The sequence below is a fragment of the Homo sapiens genome, chromosome 2 (genome assembly GCF_000001405.40).
Source record: "Homo sapiens chromosome 2, GRCh38.p14 Primary Assembly".
In the NCBI taxonomy this organism is placed as follows: domain Eukaryota; kingdom Metazoa; phylum Chordata; class Mammalia; order Primates; family Hominidae; genus Homo; species Homo sapiens.
Genome location: NC_000002.12, coordinates 57,908,037 through 57,923,547, shown reverse-complemented (window position 1 = coordinate 57,923,547; position 15,511 = coordinate 57,908,037). Strand labels below are relative to the sequence as shown.

Here is a 15,511-nt window from a genome sequence, read left to right as displayed (position 1 = left end):
AATAGACATTTCTCAAAAAAAAAACATACAAATGGCAAACAGGCATATGAAAAGGTACTCAACATCATTGGTCATCAGGAAAATGCAAATCAAAGCTACAAAGAGTTATCATCTCAGTTCAGTTAAAATGACTTTTATCTAAAAAACAGGAAATAACAAATACTGGTGAGGATGTGGAGAAAAGAGAACCCTCATACAGTATTGGTGGGAGTGTAAACTAGTACAATCACTGTGGAGAACAGTTTGGAAGTTCCTAAGAAAAAATGGAGCTAAAAATAGAGCTACCATATGATCCAGCAATCTCACAGCTAGGTATATATCCCAAAGAATAGAAATCAGTTTATAGGAGAGATATCTGCACTTCTATGTTTATTGCAGCACCATTCACTCTAGTCAATATTTGGAAGCAACCTAAGTGTCCATCAGCAGATGAATGGATAACAAAAATGTGGTGCACATACACAATGGAGTACTATTCAGCCGTAAAAGAAAATGAGATCCTGTCATTTGCAACAACATGGATGGAACTGGAGGACATTAAGTTAAGTGAAATAGGCCAGGCACAGAAAGACAAACTTCTCATATTCTCACTTATTTGTGAAAACTAAAAATTAAAACAATTGAACTCATGGAGATATATATAGAATTACGGTTACTAGAAGCTGGGAAGAGGAGTGGGAATGATTAGTGAGTACAAAAATAGAATGAATAAAATTTAGTATTATGATAGCATAACAGGGTACCTATAATCGACAATAATTTATTATGTATTAAAAATAACTATAAGTATAATTGGATTGTTTGTATCGCAAAGAGAGAATAAATTCTTGAGGTCATGAATGCCCCATTTACCCTGATGTTATTATTACACATTGTATGCTTGTATCAAAATATCTCATGTAACCCATAGATATATACACCTATGTACCCACAAAAATTAAAATCTAAAAAAAATTGTATACTAATTGTGAAAAGAATATTCAAAATCTACTCTCTTAGCATGATGAGGATATTCAAAATCTACTCTCTTAGCTTACAATTGTATTTGAATATTCTCATCACACACACACACACACACACACACACACACACAAGAAGGTAACTATGTGAGGTGATGGTTATGTTAGCGTGATTGTGGTAATCATTTCACAACATATACATATATTTAAACATCACATTGTACACTTTAAACATATACAGTTTTTCTCAATTAAACCCCACTAAAGCTGAAAAAAGATGACGATGTTGACGACAATATATTGGTCTTCTGTATATATAGCAGAATTTTAGAATGCGTATCTTTCCTGTTTTTTTAATTTCTTTCAATTTAAAGGCAATAATTCAATTTTTGATGGATCAGCTATCCTTAGAAGAGTGAATTGTCAGGACTTTGTTAGGATCCAAATCCACTCAACTTATCTAAATCCCCTCAAACACAAGTAGCCTTAGGAAAACCTAAAGTTTGAGCTAATTGGGTTGTATTGTATATAAGAAATTCAGATGAGGTATTGAAAACAAGATTTTAGAGTTTACAGAGGATACTAAAACTAGAGGCTGAGCAAATAACGAGGAACAAAACAATCAGACTCAAAAGGATTTGGATTGTATAAGTAATTGGATCAGCAGATGGCAAATGCAGTTCAGTACAGGAAAATGTAAAATAGACTTGAAGCGAAAGAAACAAACTAGAGAATATGTGCTAAATGAAATAATCATCCAGAATGCTGACCAGGAAATGGAAAGGAGGGGCTATTATAAAACATAAATCATAGCAACTCCTAGCTTATGGCTAATTCTGTTGTTTTAGAATCCTAACAAAAAAAATGTGCACACATATCATCTTTACTGGGAACTTACTGTTCCCTATGGGAACTAGCAGTTGCTTCAAATTGCAATCATTTCACTCAGTTTTGTAGAGGCACCTTTCAAAATTTTTTTAAGGTGTTACTTTTTTGAGTGCAGATTTTTCTCCTCTTTGTTTAAGCTTATGCTCATTATTATATAATTAACCTTTTCAGACATTGCTGGGAAAATTCAGAACAATGTTTTCAGGATATTTTACTAATTACCCTATAATTCACCTTGTCAGACAATCCCCAGGAGGATCCACACAAGGCTATCACTCCCCATTTGTCCTATTCTCTGAAGATATAGTATACATTTTGCAAGGGTGGGAGATCAACTGTTTGGTGAGGCAAAGCTATAGGCAGTGGATTAAAAATGTGTGTGTGTGTGAGTGTGTGTGTGTGTGTGTGTGTGTGCGCGCTTAAGAATTACCTGGGCAGGTACTTTTAAAATGGAATTACTTAGATGCCTTCTCCAGAGGTTGACACGGTACAACTGAGAAGGGGCCTCGCAAGTGGCATCCCTAATAAGCACCCTTGATGATTCTGATGTAGGCCATCTTTGGGAGACATTTTGAAAAATACCAAGTAGCTAGCAAGAAAAAAGCAGAAAGAACACCAAGTCCTAGTCCCTGCTCATCTAACTGGCTGATTAATTCGTTAACAGTCACACCACTCAGGCCTCATGTTCTTCATCTGGAAAATGAGTTCAGTATCTGTCCATCATACCTGACAGAGGAGCAAATGAAATAACATCTAGAATCTTCTTGCATACAAATATAAATGAAGGTAAAATGCTTGCCAAAATATAACATGTACTATTCTGATCCCATAATAAAATGCTTTTAAGTGGATGATTGAGGCAGCCACCTACACCCAGCCGGAGTCAGATTTTCCTTTTCATCTATTGCCACAGGAATTCTCACCCATAGTTGATCTCTGCAACCAAATAGGTACTGAAAGTAGTAGGTGTTTTCCTTTGTGTATTTTTAAAAAGTGCTAAGAGAAGGTCACTAACTGTGTCCCCATGTTTTTGTTACTCTCAGGGAGCAACGTTTTGAATAGCAGTCTTCAGTGTTTAGATCCAGTTGCGTACCCTATGGTCACCGATACTCAACTCCAGCTTTTGTTGTTGAGAATGAAAATGACTTCCACTAGCCTGACAAGCACATAATAATCACCCTTTCATCACCTACTACTGAGGTCTCTTTCTCATCTGCAGAAAGTAAAACTGAAGTCTGTTTACAAATCATAACTGAGCCCATTGAGTAAAATATCCTGTGAAATCAATTGATCGTGAGGATATGTGAAAATTTCCATAGTTTGCCTCTTATTGAAATTCTGTATTAGCCAGGCAGTCTTATCTGGAGTGTGACAGTTAGTTCAATTAAAGAATAATAAGTCCAAAAATGATATGAGTCAACTAAACAGAGGCATCCAGACATTGTGCTCTGGGCTGAGATTTACTATAAATATGGGAAGAGTGTATGCACTGCACAGCTTTTTTTTGGACTGATCTTATTTGATAAGCTTCTCTTTGGAACAGTCTGTGAAGATGGCTACCATGTAATTAGCTAAGCAATAAGTTAGGTGTTTAAAAATATTTTTTCAGGTGCTTTTTTGTATTCATGATAGATTCTCAACACCAAAAATCAATCTCAATCAAAGCGGCAACTGAGTTTATCATAAATTATCATGAAAAGGTTTTCTACTGAGTAGATGGTTAATTACTATCTAATTTGAATAATTTTGCATATTAATGAGGAATGAATGAAAATCATTTTTAGACTTTTAACTTCAGCTGAGAAACCCATGGAGATAATGGCTCCTTTTTAAGAGGTATGTGATCTCTGTTACCAAAGAAGATACTTTTTAAAAAAAAATTACTGACTTCGGTTGATTAATGGATTAGTGTTTTCCCATTAATAAACTATATCCAAATGAAAGACAACTTCATTATTTGACTCTGTAGCCCCTAGCTGCCTGCCAGGTAAGAAAAATGGAAAATAGATGAAGAATGTGCTAAGGAAAAATATAACCTTGCTCAGTCCTTCAAAATTTCTGGATACAGACATTTGTATGTTACTGATTGTGAATGAATTTTTATAACTTGTATATTTTTGTCACATGAAGCTCTATGTATACTTGTTTACACATGATATTTAGATTTAGAATGTACATATTGAGCTGAAAATAAGGGTATACTCTTAAAACTATTACTGTATTCTCCAATTTGAAAAAGTGACTGACAATTGCCTCAGGACTCAGAAATTATTGCCAGCCAGAAATCGAAAGTCACTTTTATAAAGTATCATGAAAACTTTCTTAGCATTGCAAACAAAGAATAACACTTTTTATACTTTTTAAGAGAAATATTGTTTATATTTCTTATAAAACATTATAAAATATATTTCCATTTAGGAAAAATAAGGAACAAACTACTTATCTCCCTCCAGTTTTCTTTTACCTTTATCTTTTATTTCATACTCAAAACTTCCCTATTTGATACTTACTTTTAGGCTATCTTTTTTTCCCCTCTTTGGGCAGAGTCTGCCATTATCCAATGATTCCATGCATTCAGTGGACTCTATACAGGATTTATTGCAGAATAATGCAGAACAGTCTTGATGAATTAAATTGGACAAGTATTTTTATACTTTGCAAACCAAAAACTTTAACCAAGATGGTCAATAGAACAAGATATTAATTCTTACAGCCCACATTCAACTTTTAAAATTGGATATTTTAGTCATGCCAATACCAGACCAGACAAGCATTGAGTTTAAAAATCTTCAGATACATAGAAATGTTCTTAAGATCAGCATTAATCAGCATTGTATTTTATCAAGAAGGATCAGGATTAGACTGGGCTCATGGAATTTCAATTGAGCACACAGATTTCAGAGCATGATTATAAAGTTCAATAGATGCCTTTGGATTACTTAACTCAATAGAAGAGTAAAAAGTAGAAGTGAGTTTTCTTTCTGGGTCTAGAGAACATGTCTTTTATATTACTAAAAACTCCAACAACACAAGCTCAATAATATCTGAAAAAGGAACTGCTTAGATGGGTGCTTTCACAATCAGTCCCAGACTTGTCCCACTCACTATTCATTTACCATCATGGTCAGTACCTTCCTGGCCAGAAAGTGAAGAAGATTTTACCAATATAAGGGTGATAGACTCTAAAAGTGGCATTGACAATACATCTGAAGAAAAGTCTGGAAAAGAGGCAAGCCATTTTAAAAAGAACTAAAAACCTTGATGTTTCCAATTGAGCCATATGCCAGGGTAACTCTCAGGATAAGAAATGAACTATATTTTATATGCACAAAGTAGGATTTTTCAAAAAAAATGAAATGAAAAGTGGCATTAGCATGAGCTGTCCACTCCCCCTCTCCTCCTTCTGGTCTCTTCCAGTCTCTTTTGCCAAAGAACTGAGAATGAATTTTTGAGAGCCAAGGATATGGAAAGGAAGACAAAATAAAGCTGGGAGAATTTTGGCGGAATTACATGCTTAACATACTGCACCATTTCTTTAATATATTTAAATAGTCCTGTGTCATCAGTTGGTGGCTTTTCTTTTCAACAATTTGCAATGTATTTTGTTTTTCCTTAATTAAGCTTCACATGCTGGAATTAATTACTGCTGGGTAGTTGAAATCTGGTGGTCTAATTTTCAACTTTAGTTAATAAAGCTCAAAGTCTACATTCACCTCTGAAATGATCAACCTTACCAAATTATATTTGTCCACTTTTACCTTCTAGATAATGAATATACAGGGCAGCTGCAAACTGTGATTGTAAAATAACAAGATTATTTTTCATGTGTGACTTGTAAATCCTCTCTCTTTATAAAGAAAACTTTATCATATGAAAGATCTTTATATTATAGGGATTGCATGTAAAACACAGGTTGCACATGTGTCTCCAAAGTATTCAAAGCCATCCCCTCTCTTAACCATTAAAGTAAAGCTATATCAACATTTCATTTGTCAAAAAAAAGTGAAAATTTTCTATATCATAAGCAGTTCAGTATGCTACCCTGGAAAAGTTTTAAAATATCTAGATACCATTACCCCAAACTAAATATTTTAAAGACTCTAAAAACTTTAGTCATAAATTGGTTGAAAGCAGGAAACCAGTCTACATCTAGATCTAGTATGACTAATTTTAGATAATAAAATACACATATACAATAAACTGCTCTCACATGCATAATGAGGTGTATTAGCAGGCATTATCATCTTTATTTTGCAGATGAATATATTAGGACTCAGAGATATTGAGATCTCAGGTCACTCTATGAAAGACTCGTCTTCAATTTGGGTCATCTGAATTTATAGCCTGACCTCCTTTTATTTATACCACAAGCACCCATTATAAAAGCAGAAAAGGAAGAACTGGAGGTAAGGGAGTAAAGGCTGATCAAGTGAGAGAGTGAGTAGGTCTAGTGCTAATTTCTTTACCTTTCTCTTTTCCTACATGTTGTTTCTTGTATTTCAACAAATTATCTCCCAGGTTGTTGGTATTCTTTCTCCAAGCCAGCTAGATACATGGATTATTAATCAACATTAAGGCATAAATGACTTCCTGACCAAATTTTAGCAAATTTTAGGGGATAATATCTGTTTCCCTAATTAGAACCTAATGATTCATCAGCTAGTAATCTAGAGATTGTACATTTGAAAATTTACATTGTGTATACTTGTTTCATGTACTCGTCACTTATTTAGGCTTCTAAAATAGTACTTTACATACGCTAGTTTATTTGATTCCCACAACAGCCTTATGAAGCAGATACTACTATGATCCTTATTCTACAAATGAGAAAACAGAAGGTAGAAGAACTTAAGTGACTTTCCAAAGAGTTGAAACTGGAATTTGAAATTACATCTGTCCAATTTCAGAGCCAGACAGTCACTCCACACTTCTGTAAATGGCTTTTCTCTACTCTGACTTAGTAAAACACATGGTCTAAGCTGTCTTATTTATGAGCTGCATCACTTTGGGCAAGATACTTAATTAGCTAAGCATTAGTTTCCTCCTCATTTGTCAGATAGGGCTAGTGATTACAAAGAGGTTTTTTAAAATTAAAAAAATTGAAAACCAATATCATACATGAAAAAAATTGTAGTGCTATTATTATTATTATTATCATTGGGCTTAAGGAGGGTGGGTCGATATAGTGAATATTCAAAACTTATAGGCTAACCTGAAGTTAAATGCAGTTGTTTATAGTTGAACCATAGTTGACTATGGTTCTTTAGGGGGTAGTCTTTTTTTTTTTTTTTCTCTGAGACGAAGTTTTGCTCTTGTTGCCAGGCTGGAGTGCAATGGCACGATCTCAGCTCACCGCAACCTCAGCCTCCCAGGTTCAAGCGATTCTCCTGCCTCAACTTCCTGAGTAGCTGGGATTACAGGTATGTGCCACCATGCTTGGCTAATTTTGTATTTTTAGTAGAGATGGGTTTTCTCCATGTTGGTCAGGCTGGTCTCGAACTCCTGACCTCAAGTGATCTGCCTGCCTCGACCTCCCAAAGTGCTGGGATTACAGGTTTGAGCCACCGCGCCCGCCCTTGGTGGGTATTCTTAAGATTGAAACATTTGTGGAGGTATTTATTTCTCCATCTAATGGGAGGCTTGTGCAGCAGTCCCCAGCCTTTTGGCACCAGGGACCAATTTCATGGAAGACAATTCCACGAAACTGGCATGGGGAGTGGTGGTTTTGGGATGAAACTGTTTCACCTCATCAGGCATTAGATTCTCATAAGGAGCGTGCAACCTAGATCCCACACATGCACAGTTCACAAGCAGGGTTTGTGGTCCTATGACAATCTAATGTCTCTGCTGGGCTGACTGGAGGCGGAGCTCAGGCTGTAATGCTGGCTTGCCCACCACTCACTTCTTGCTGTGTTTCCTGGTTCCTAACAGGCCACAAACCGGTACTGGTCTGCAGCCCAGCGGGTTGGGGACCCCTGATGTAAGATCTGTCAATGCAGCTTGAGCCTTTTATGACAAATACAGCTTATCGCAGATAACTGTTTATAGTAAGGTTTCAGTTAGAAACTGGAATTTCCTCTTGTTCATGAAGATTTCTAGTCATCATTGTTCCATCTTCTGCTTTGGTAGGGAAGTGGAGTTGGGTACAGTGGAAATCTTTCAGCTGCATTTTTCCCCATATTATTTTAACATCCTAGGGAGCACATATGTATATAATTATTGTATCTTTATTTTTTTAATCCATTCACCTGATTTCTTTAAATATGTGATGGTAGAACATGCTGATAAAACTTGCCACTTTGAAGTCAAATCTCATTATATAATTCTGGGCCTGATCTTCAAAAATAAAATAATAGAATTATTACTTTATAGTTGTTAGGTTATAAATGCTTTCATGTTTGCAAAATGTTTTTAGATTTATGTAGAATCATGTGTAGTTCACTATTGTAAAGTTTTATGATAACCAGAACTCACATTAATGTCTTTTGCTTAGTTTTCAATACATTTTCAACTAGAACATGTATTTAGTCTTTTTGGTTTTGAGGTAACTATTCCTATTCGGAGATAGAACTTTTAAAGAACTATGATTTTATTTTGCTATTTCTAATTTTGTCCTTTTTAGGTAAATATATATTATGTACATTTCATTTTACAGTGCACTTATTTAATATAAATAGTTCTGTAAACTTGTATTTTTTGTGTGAGGATCTTGAAATCAAAATAATCAACAGTAAACATCACAACTACAGCTGCAGCTTCAAATATTTTATAATCCAATCAAATTGTTTGAGTAGTAATGTATTTAAATGTTGTTATGGAATCCCCTCCAGACTTTTTAAAATGGTTACTCTGTTCCTGGGTTTGCTATTTATGAAATTCATAAAGGATGACATATTTTAATAATAGAGAATTTGACTTGGAGAGCAATGTTTCTTTTTATGTCTCAATAAAATCTAAAATTTTCTGGCTTAACTTTCAGAGGGACACAACCACAAATTATTCTTTTATTAGTGAATGTATATACATCTGTTGTTGCTGCTGTAATTAGAGTGACCTTAAATGAGAAGTCTTACCTGAGTTGTTTAACACCTTTTCGGATATTTGGATGAAGAAGAAGTTTTACCTAAGGAGATGAGGCACCAGGATGATACTAGGTGTGAAAAATACCTTTACAAAAGACTCATAGCAGAGGTCGTCATCTATAATTAAGTATAATGTAATATTTCAGGCCTTACCTAAGCCCTGATGTAGTTTAAATTATTTTTAAATTGTATAGGTTAAAAAAATGAATCGGGATAGAGTTATATTATTAGTCCTACAGAGCTGATATTAACTAAGGTTTTACTGTGTGCTATGTCCTAGGCTAAAACACTTTATACAATTCATGTAGTCATTTTATGAGATAATTTCCATTTTTTCTGATAAGGAACCTAAGTAAAAAAAAAAAAAAAGTAAGGTTAAGTGCCACAAATAGTAAACATTGGGATCTTGGCTATCTGACCTCAGAGCCTCATGTTTATTAGAAATTAATACAGATGTATTTAATTGTGCACATATATTTAATTGACTAATGGACAGAGGATCCTAATTTCAGAAGTAGATATTCTTGAAGTTTCAAAACATTAATATTCTATAAAATAAATTTTTTGTTTGAAAAGTTGACGTTTTTTCTCTTTAATGTATTAAGCAATTTTGTGTTTGACTTAAGAATTAGACAAGTAAATTGGCATTATTTTTGTTGGCATTTATATAGGCAAGCTAATAACTTATTGTGGTTACATTTTAACATGACTTATTCAATTAAGGCTTTATTAAATACTTACATATAAATATTATTAAGCCCCATTAAAAAGTACTTCAAACTGAAATATGATATAGAAACAGTATTTTTTTAAATGCTACAGTTTGGCATGAAAAAAATCCAATTTGGTATCCTAATATTCCATATGTCTCTGCAGTATTAAAACATGCAAAGAGTATGTATAATTTGTGAAAATATCCTAATATTATTATAAACATATATTGAACAAAACAATGAAGATCATAGTAAAGTTGCAGTGAAAAGTGCATCTAAAGTTTTAGAAATATTTGGGTGCAATATAATATCACATATAAGAGCAAAATTTAAAGTCAGGGAGATATCTAGCTAGGCCACAAAACTGCCCTCCTTATTCAACTTTATTCCTCTGTAATTTAGTTGGCAGATAAATTTCTCCTGAAAACAGAAAAAGGAGATTTAGATACATTGGCCCATTCCTATCAAATAAAAAAAATTGCTAATAATCTTTTGATGAGGAAATATTTGGAAAACTACTTTTTTAGCACTTATTATGTAGGAAGTAATTTAAAAAGCACTTTTATAGACAGTCATTTAACCTTTACGTAATCCCTATAAAATACCTATTACCAACTAGGTAAGTCTTTAAAACTCATGAGTTTCCATGACTTGCGTAATGTAAAATAACTAGAAATAAATTGGTAGGGCCAAGATTGAATCCCAGGCCTCATGCTCTAAATCCAGTGTGTTCTGGCCTCTCATGATCTTAGAATGTCCATGTTTCAGTCTGTTCAGGCTGCTATAACAAAAATATCATAGACCGTATGGTTTAAACAACAAGCATTTGTTTTTCACAGTCCTGCTGGCTGAGAATCTCAGATGCAGGTTCCAGCAGATTCAGTGTCTGAGGAGGCCCACTTCCTGGTTCATAGACAGCTTGTCTTCTTGCTGTGTCCTCACATGGTGGAAAGAGTGAGGGATCTTTCTGGGATCTTTTTAATAAGAGCACTAATTCCATTCAAGAGGGCTTCACCATCATGTCCCAAAGTCCCCACCTTCTAATACCGTCACATTAGGGGTAAGGGTTTTAATATATGAATCTCGGGATACAAATATTTAGTCCATAACAGCCCATAAGGGTAAATGCATTCCTTTCCTGTTCTAAGCAATTTGTATGAGTTAATTCTTTCTTTCCTTTGAATTTCCCAGCATACCAGAAGCTATTTGGCTGCCAGAAAATAGTCTTGTAACAAAAGCGGTTGCTCTTTAGTCAAATTACAAATATCCAACTAAACCATAAGAAACTCTTTATACAAAATTTCTTGGTGTCATCAAATATGTCCTTCCCAGCTCTTTTCTGATTTCCTCTCTGTTTCTGAGCTGGGTTTTGCCTCTGAGCTTATGAGCTGCTCTTCTCCCTTATATTTGTGCTCCTCCCTGTTTTGGTTAATTACTTCACTCTATCTTCAAGTTTTAGTCTTTTGTATGAAAAAAAAAACTTCTTCCTGAAAGCTGGACTTGCTTATCCCTCTGATGAACTCCAACCCAAACTTTGAGTGTTTTCATGCAGTAATGTGTCCCTTGGACACTCTTGGACTCCACCAGCCATGTCATCACTCAAAGTATGAACCCAGATGTCTGAATTAATTAGATAAGACACATGGCTTGTTCACTTGTAGATCTATACCAAAATTGCAGGATTTTTCCATGCAAAACCTAAACTAGCTCTTTTGCTAATTTCATCCATAATTCTTTATACAACTGAGAAGTTAGAATCTAGCTGAAAATTTGAAACTATTTGCTGTGCATTTATATCAGTTAATACTAGGCATTAATAAAAGATACCTGCATTGTCTTCTTTTCATTTTGTATTGTAAATCCAGCCCTTTTATGGGGTCTAGTAAGATTTGTGTTTTAATGTGCTCCTATATTTAGCAAATATTTACTAAAGGCCTATTATGTGCTAAGCACTCTTCTAGGAGAGCAGGTTATCTCTTATAACTCATTATATTCCCAGTGAATAGCATTAAGTCTTATACATAATGTATCAATTGACAAGCCCTGCTGTTTTGCTAGGTCCTAAAAAGTACAACAGTAACATTCCTGATTTTTTTCTTGGAAATCAGATTTCAGTCTGGTTTGGTCTGATTTTCAGATTTCAGTCCATTTGTCGGTAATTAAATGTTCACGGAATCCCCAATTATATCCATAAATGTATGTGATTATCACTGTAAACTATCCAGGCTCCATTGATGCACATGAATTATGCTAATGCCTTCAAGTTTATCTAGTTCTTTTATATGTCATTTTCCCTCTTTCCAGTACTTACCTCTTTGAATGAATCAGGGCAACCTTAAGAGAGAAAAACAAAGGTGGAAGTCCACTTAATAGTTACAAAGTAGATTCCTTTTGTGGGGCCAAGCAACTCCTTACAATGGGTGTGGGTTGGTCAGAGCTGGTTTCTGCGACCATCAGAACGCATCAGCACTGTCTGTGTTATCTATATTGTGGGATTTCTCAAGGCTTTCAATATGCCAATGTTAACTGTGACTCTCCAAAAAGGGTGTAGTGTTTCCCAAATGTATTTAACCATGGAACTTAACTCTTATTTTCTTTTGTCAGAGCATCTCTCAGAACAAGTCTCTAGGGACATATAGCTTGGGAAACTCTGAAACACAGAGTCACAAAAAGCATAATGTTTATAATCTAGAATATCTCTGAGGATCTTAATCCAAACTATGTTGCTAATATTACCATGAAGTAACTGGTGAGAGTAATGAGATGTAATGATTTTCATATTTTGCCGATGAGGAAACTGAGATGTAGAAAATTCAAGCAGATTTCCCATGATTGCTCCGTTGAGAAATGTTTAAAAAAAAAAAAAAGACCCAAAAAACCCTAGAGAACTCAAGTCTGTCTGACCCAATCTTAAAATCATTCCCCAATACTGTTTATTGCTCACTGGTTCTAACTGGGCATTTGGGCCTAGTCTGCAAACTCTGTGTTCCTGGGCCATAGCAGACTTAAAACCAAATCTCTGAGTTTTAATCTCAACATTGGTTAGTCCTTTAGGTGTAAGAGGATGACATCTAGTGAGAGCTTTTCTAAGGGATTAATTCACAGTATTTTATCCTTTTCTGTAGTATTGGCTTTGGAACTTATGTTGGGGGCAGGGATCAACCATCACCACTACCATAGCCACCAGTTTTTATTAAGCAGTAATTATGTGTTGGGTTGGGTAACAAACATTTGAAAATGTATACTTTATCTCCTTTAATCTTTCCCTCAGTCCTATAAGGTTGGCAACATTATAAAGAAACACATTCAGATAAACAAATGATAAAAAAGTCAAATATTTAGTAAATAGAGAAGCCGGGGATTAAATCCAGATCTGATTGATGGCAAATATTACAGGCTTGTCATGATCCATTTTGTCTTCAGAATCTACAGAGATAAACCCTGTATGAATTTCTCTTGGGGTCATGAAGAGACTGGGGTATGAAAGTGTCACACATTTCCTGTCTTCACAAGTTTACTTATTTTCAAAGCTGAGCGTTGTGTTTTATTGTCATAATCCAGGGAAGAGTACAATAGGGGAGTCAGCATCTCAGCCATTCTGATAGAATGCACCTTGACTTTGTTGAACTCCAGAGCTGACCTTCCCAGTGTTGAAAATCTGCATGGAGAAAGGGATTTATCTGGAGCTGTTACAGCTCTGGCATTTAGGCAGCCATGTAGGAATAGCTAGCTACGTGTTTTGTAGAAAATAGATCAACGATGGGGCCCCCATGGGAATGTTTTTTTTTTTTTTCCTCTATCTTCATTCATGGTTTTAAGTAGTATGGGTTTATTTTACCTATCAGGCTAATTACAAGTGATTTACCATTTTAATCTGGAATAAAAGATTTTATTTTTTATAAATTGACTATGTGGATGAAACATTTTTCTTCTTATTCCTAAAATACCTGTTATTATGGCTTATAGGATCAATAATTTTTACATTTCACAAAGCTTCTAAGAATATCTGAACATAGAAAATGGCAAGAAAAGGATAGAGGTTCAAATGAAACTGTTCAGCAGGTCAATAATTTAACGCTTTCAGAAAGTATGCAATATCAATTCTTGACAGATCTCTAAGACAGATTTCTTCATTAAAAATCTATTAAGAGTTAGAAGGAATTTATTAAACAAATTATTAATATTTCAGGCATTGCTAAATAGCAAATTAAAGCAAAGCAAAAATAGCATAGGAAAAATATATTTCATGATTAAAAATGAATTTCTTCTTGACAGCGAGTTTTACCAAAGGATAATTATTTCTCAAATATTTCAGTTTGGAATTTTAATCTTTGTTTGTTTTTGCATCCTGAGCTACCTAGTAGTCTGTGGTTTTATCCAGTACTATATCAGTTTATATGTTTTCTCCTTTTGAGAACTAAAAAAAAAACACACACACACACATACACTCAGGCTGAATATTTCTCCTGGATCTTTTTCTTTACAAGTGTAAATCATCACTTATGATAGTGAAAGAGTGCAGTACTTAATCTCCATAGTGATGCTATGACCCTGATGATCTTCAGTTTACTCTTGGTATTTCAGTTTATAATAATAGGTGGGTGGTTTATATTTGTAACTAATAAAATGCTTCCTAAAATATTGGACTGGTGATAGTTTTAAGGTTTATGATATTTTTACTTTATACAAAGTCAAATGAGTTCAGTTATGTTAGAAGGTAAACTGAGGCATAATAAAATGTTAGAGAGCTTATTTGAGCACTCACTTGAGAATCAGGAAGCTCCAAACCAAAAGCAGTTCATGAGCTCCACTGAGGGAATGCAAAGGGGAGGCTTTTACAGAACAGACACAGAAATAAAGCAAGCACAATATTTGATTGGTTATAGTTATACAGTTGCCTTATTTGGTATATCCTATTGGAACGTCCCTAATTATATTAATAATTTTCTAAGGTTTTGGCTACTTTTGATTGGTTGAGCTTAAGTTTTGTTTTCTTTCTAATATAGGCATTTACAAGAAATCACCCCAAGTTAAGTTTCACTTCTGTTTGCAAACCCAGCAACCCTTAGGTCACTAATGAGGTCTACTCGTTTTAGCTGCTCAGGGATTCTTCAGGCCTGGTCTTCATTTTAATTTAACAGGTAACAAACTTCAAGATATGGCCTCATTAAAAACTACTTTGAAAAACTATTCTTCAAATCTGGTCAAATATTTGGTTCAATTAACTAAAAACCTGTCACACACAGTTTAGAAAACACTTAGTAATTAGTAAAATATGGTAGTGTGGATGCCTCAAAAAGGTTTATTAAGAGCCAGTCATTTAACTTCAGACATTTTGGAGGATTGGTTATACATTCAGAAATGATGGAGCTCAAGTTTTTTTTTTAATGTTTTCATCCATCTATATATGCATGCATACACTCATCAAATACTTCTTCATCATGTTTTATGTTAAAACACTGCAAGATTCTTAGAGAGACACAGACAAAATTGTGACTATCCTTAAAAGATTTATAGATAAGTCCAGAGCATAAGTAGTCACAGCTGCCAATTTCAGAATTTTGTCAGATGTATAATTATAATATATCATAGAAAATAATGGGTGGCAAAAGCTGTGCAAATTGTAAGAGGCAAAGCAACATCTTTAAATCATACGTGATGTGTGGTCATCCTAATGAAAACTAGAAGAATCAACCCAAGATAAAACCACATACGATGTACAACTTTGTGCTCTGCTCCTCTAAGTTCTTTAACTCCTGACTATGCTTTTTGGTTTCTGATTTTGGATTCTTCCTTAGATTTGCCTTCCAGAAGTTCCTTGAAAATCTCTTGATCCCCTCTTGTGAATCCTTTTGGCCTTCATTCTCAT

General features: G+C 34.4%; 1 protein-coding gene and 1 long non-coding RNA gene across 3 annotated transcripts in view, besides 1 other annotated feature; one reads left to right on the top strand and one right to left on the bottom strand.

Moving 5' to 3' along the window:
• VRK2 (VRK serine/threonine kinase 2) overlaps nucleotides 1–15,511 on the bottom strand; it is a 252,329-nt gene that overhangs the window by 236,373 nt on the left and 445 nt on the right. The window lies entirely within an intron of this gene.
• Nucleotides 7,226–9,507, top strand: LOC124907770 (uncharacterized). The gene is made up of 2 exons (XR_007086325.1): nucleotides 7,226–7,267; nucleotides 8,827–9,507. It is a non-coding gene; the product is annotated as an uncharacterized LOC124907770 (long non-coding RNA).
• Nucleotides 14,481–14,780: an enhancer, noted in NCBI's record as "active region_15791". NCBI's record gives its function as "activates an Ori minimal core promoter by ATAC-STARR-seq in GM12878 lymphoblastoid cells {active_cell/tissue: GM12878}" and the evidence as "EXISTENCE:reporter gene assay evidence [ECO:0000049][PMID:35858748]".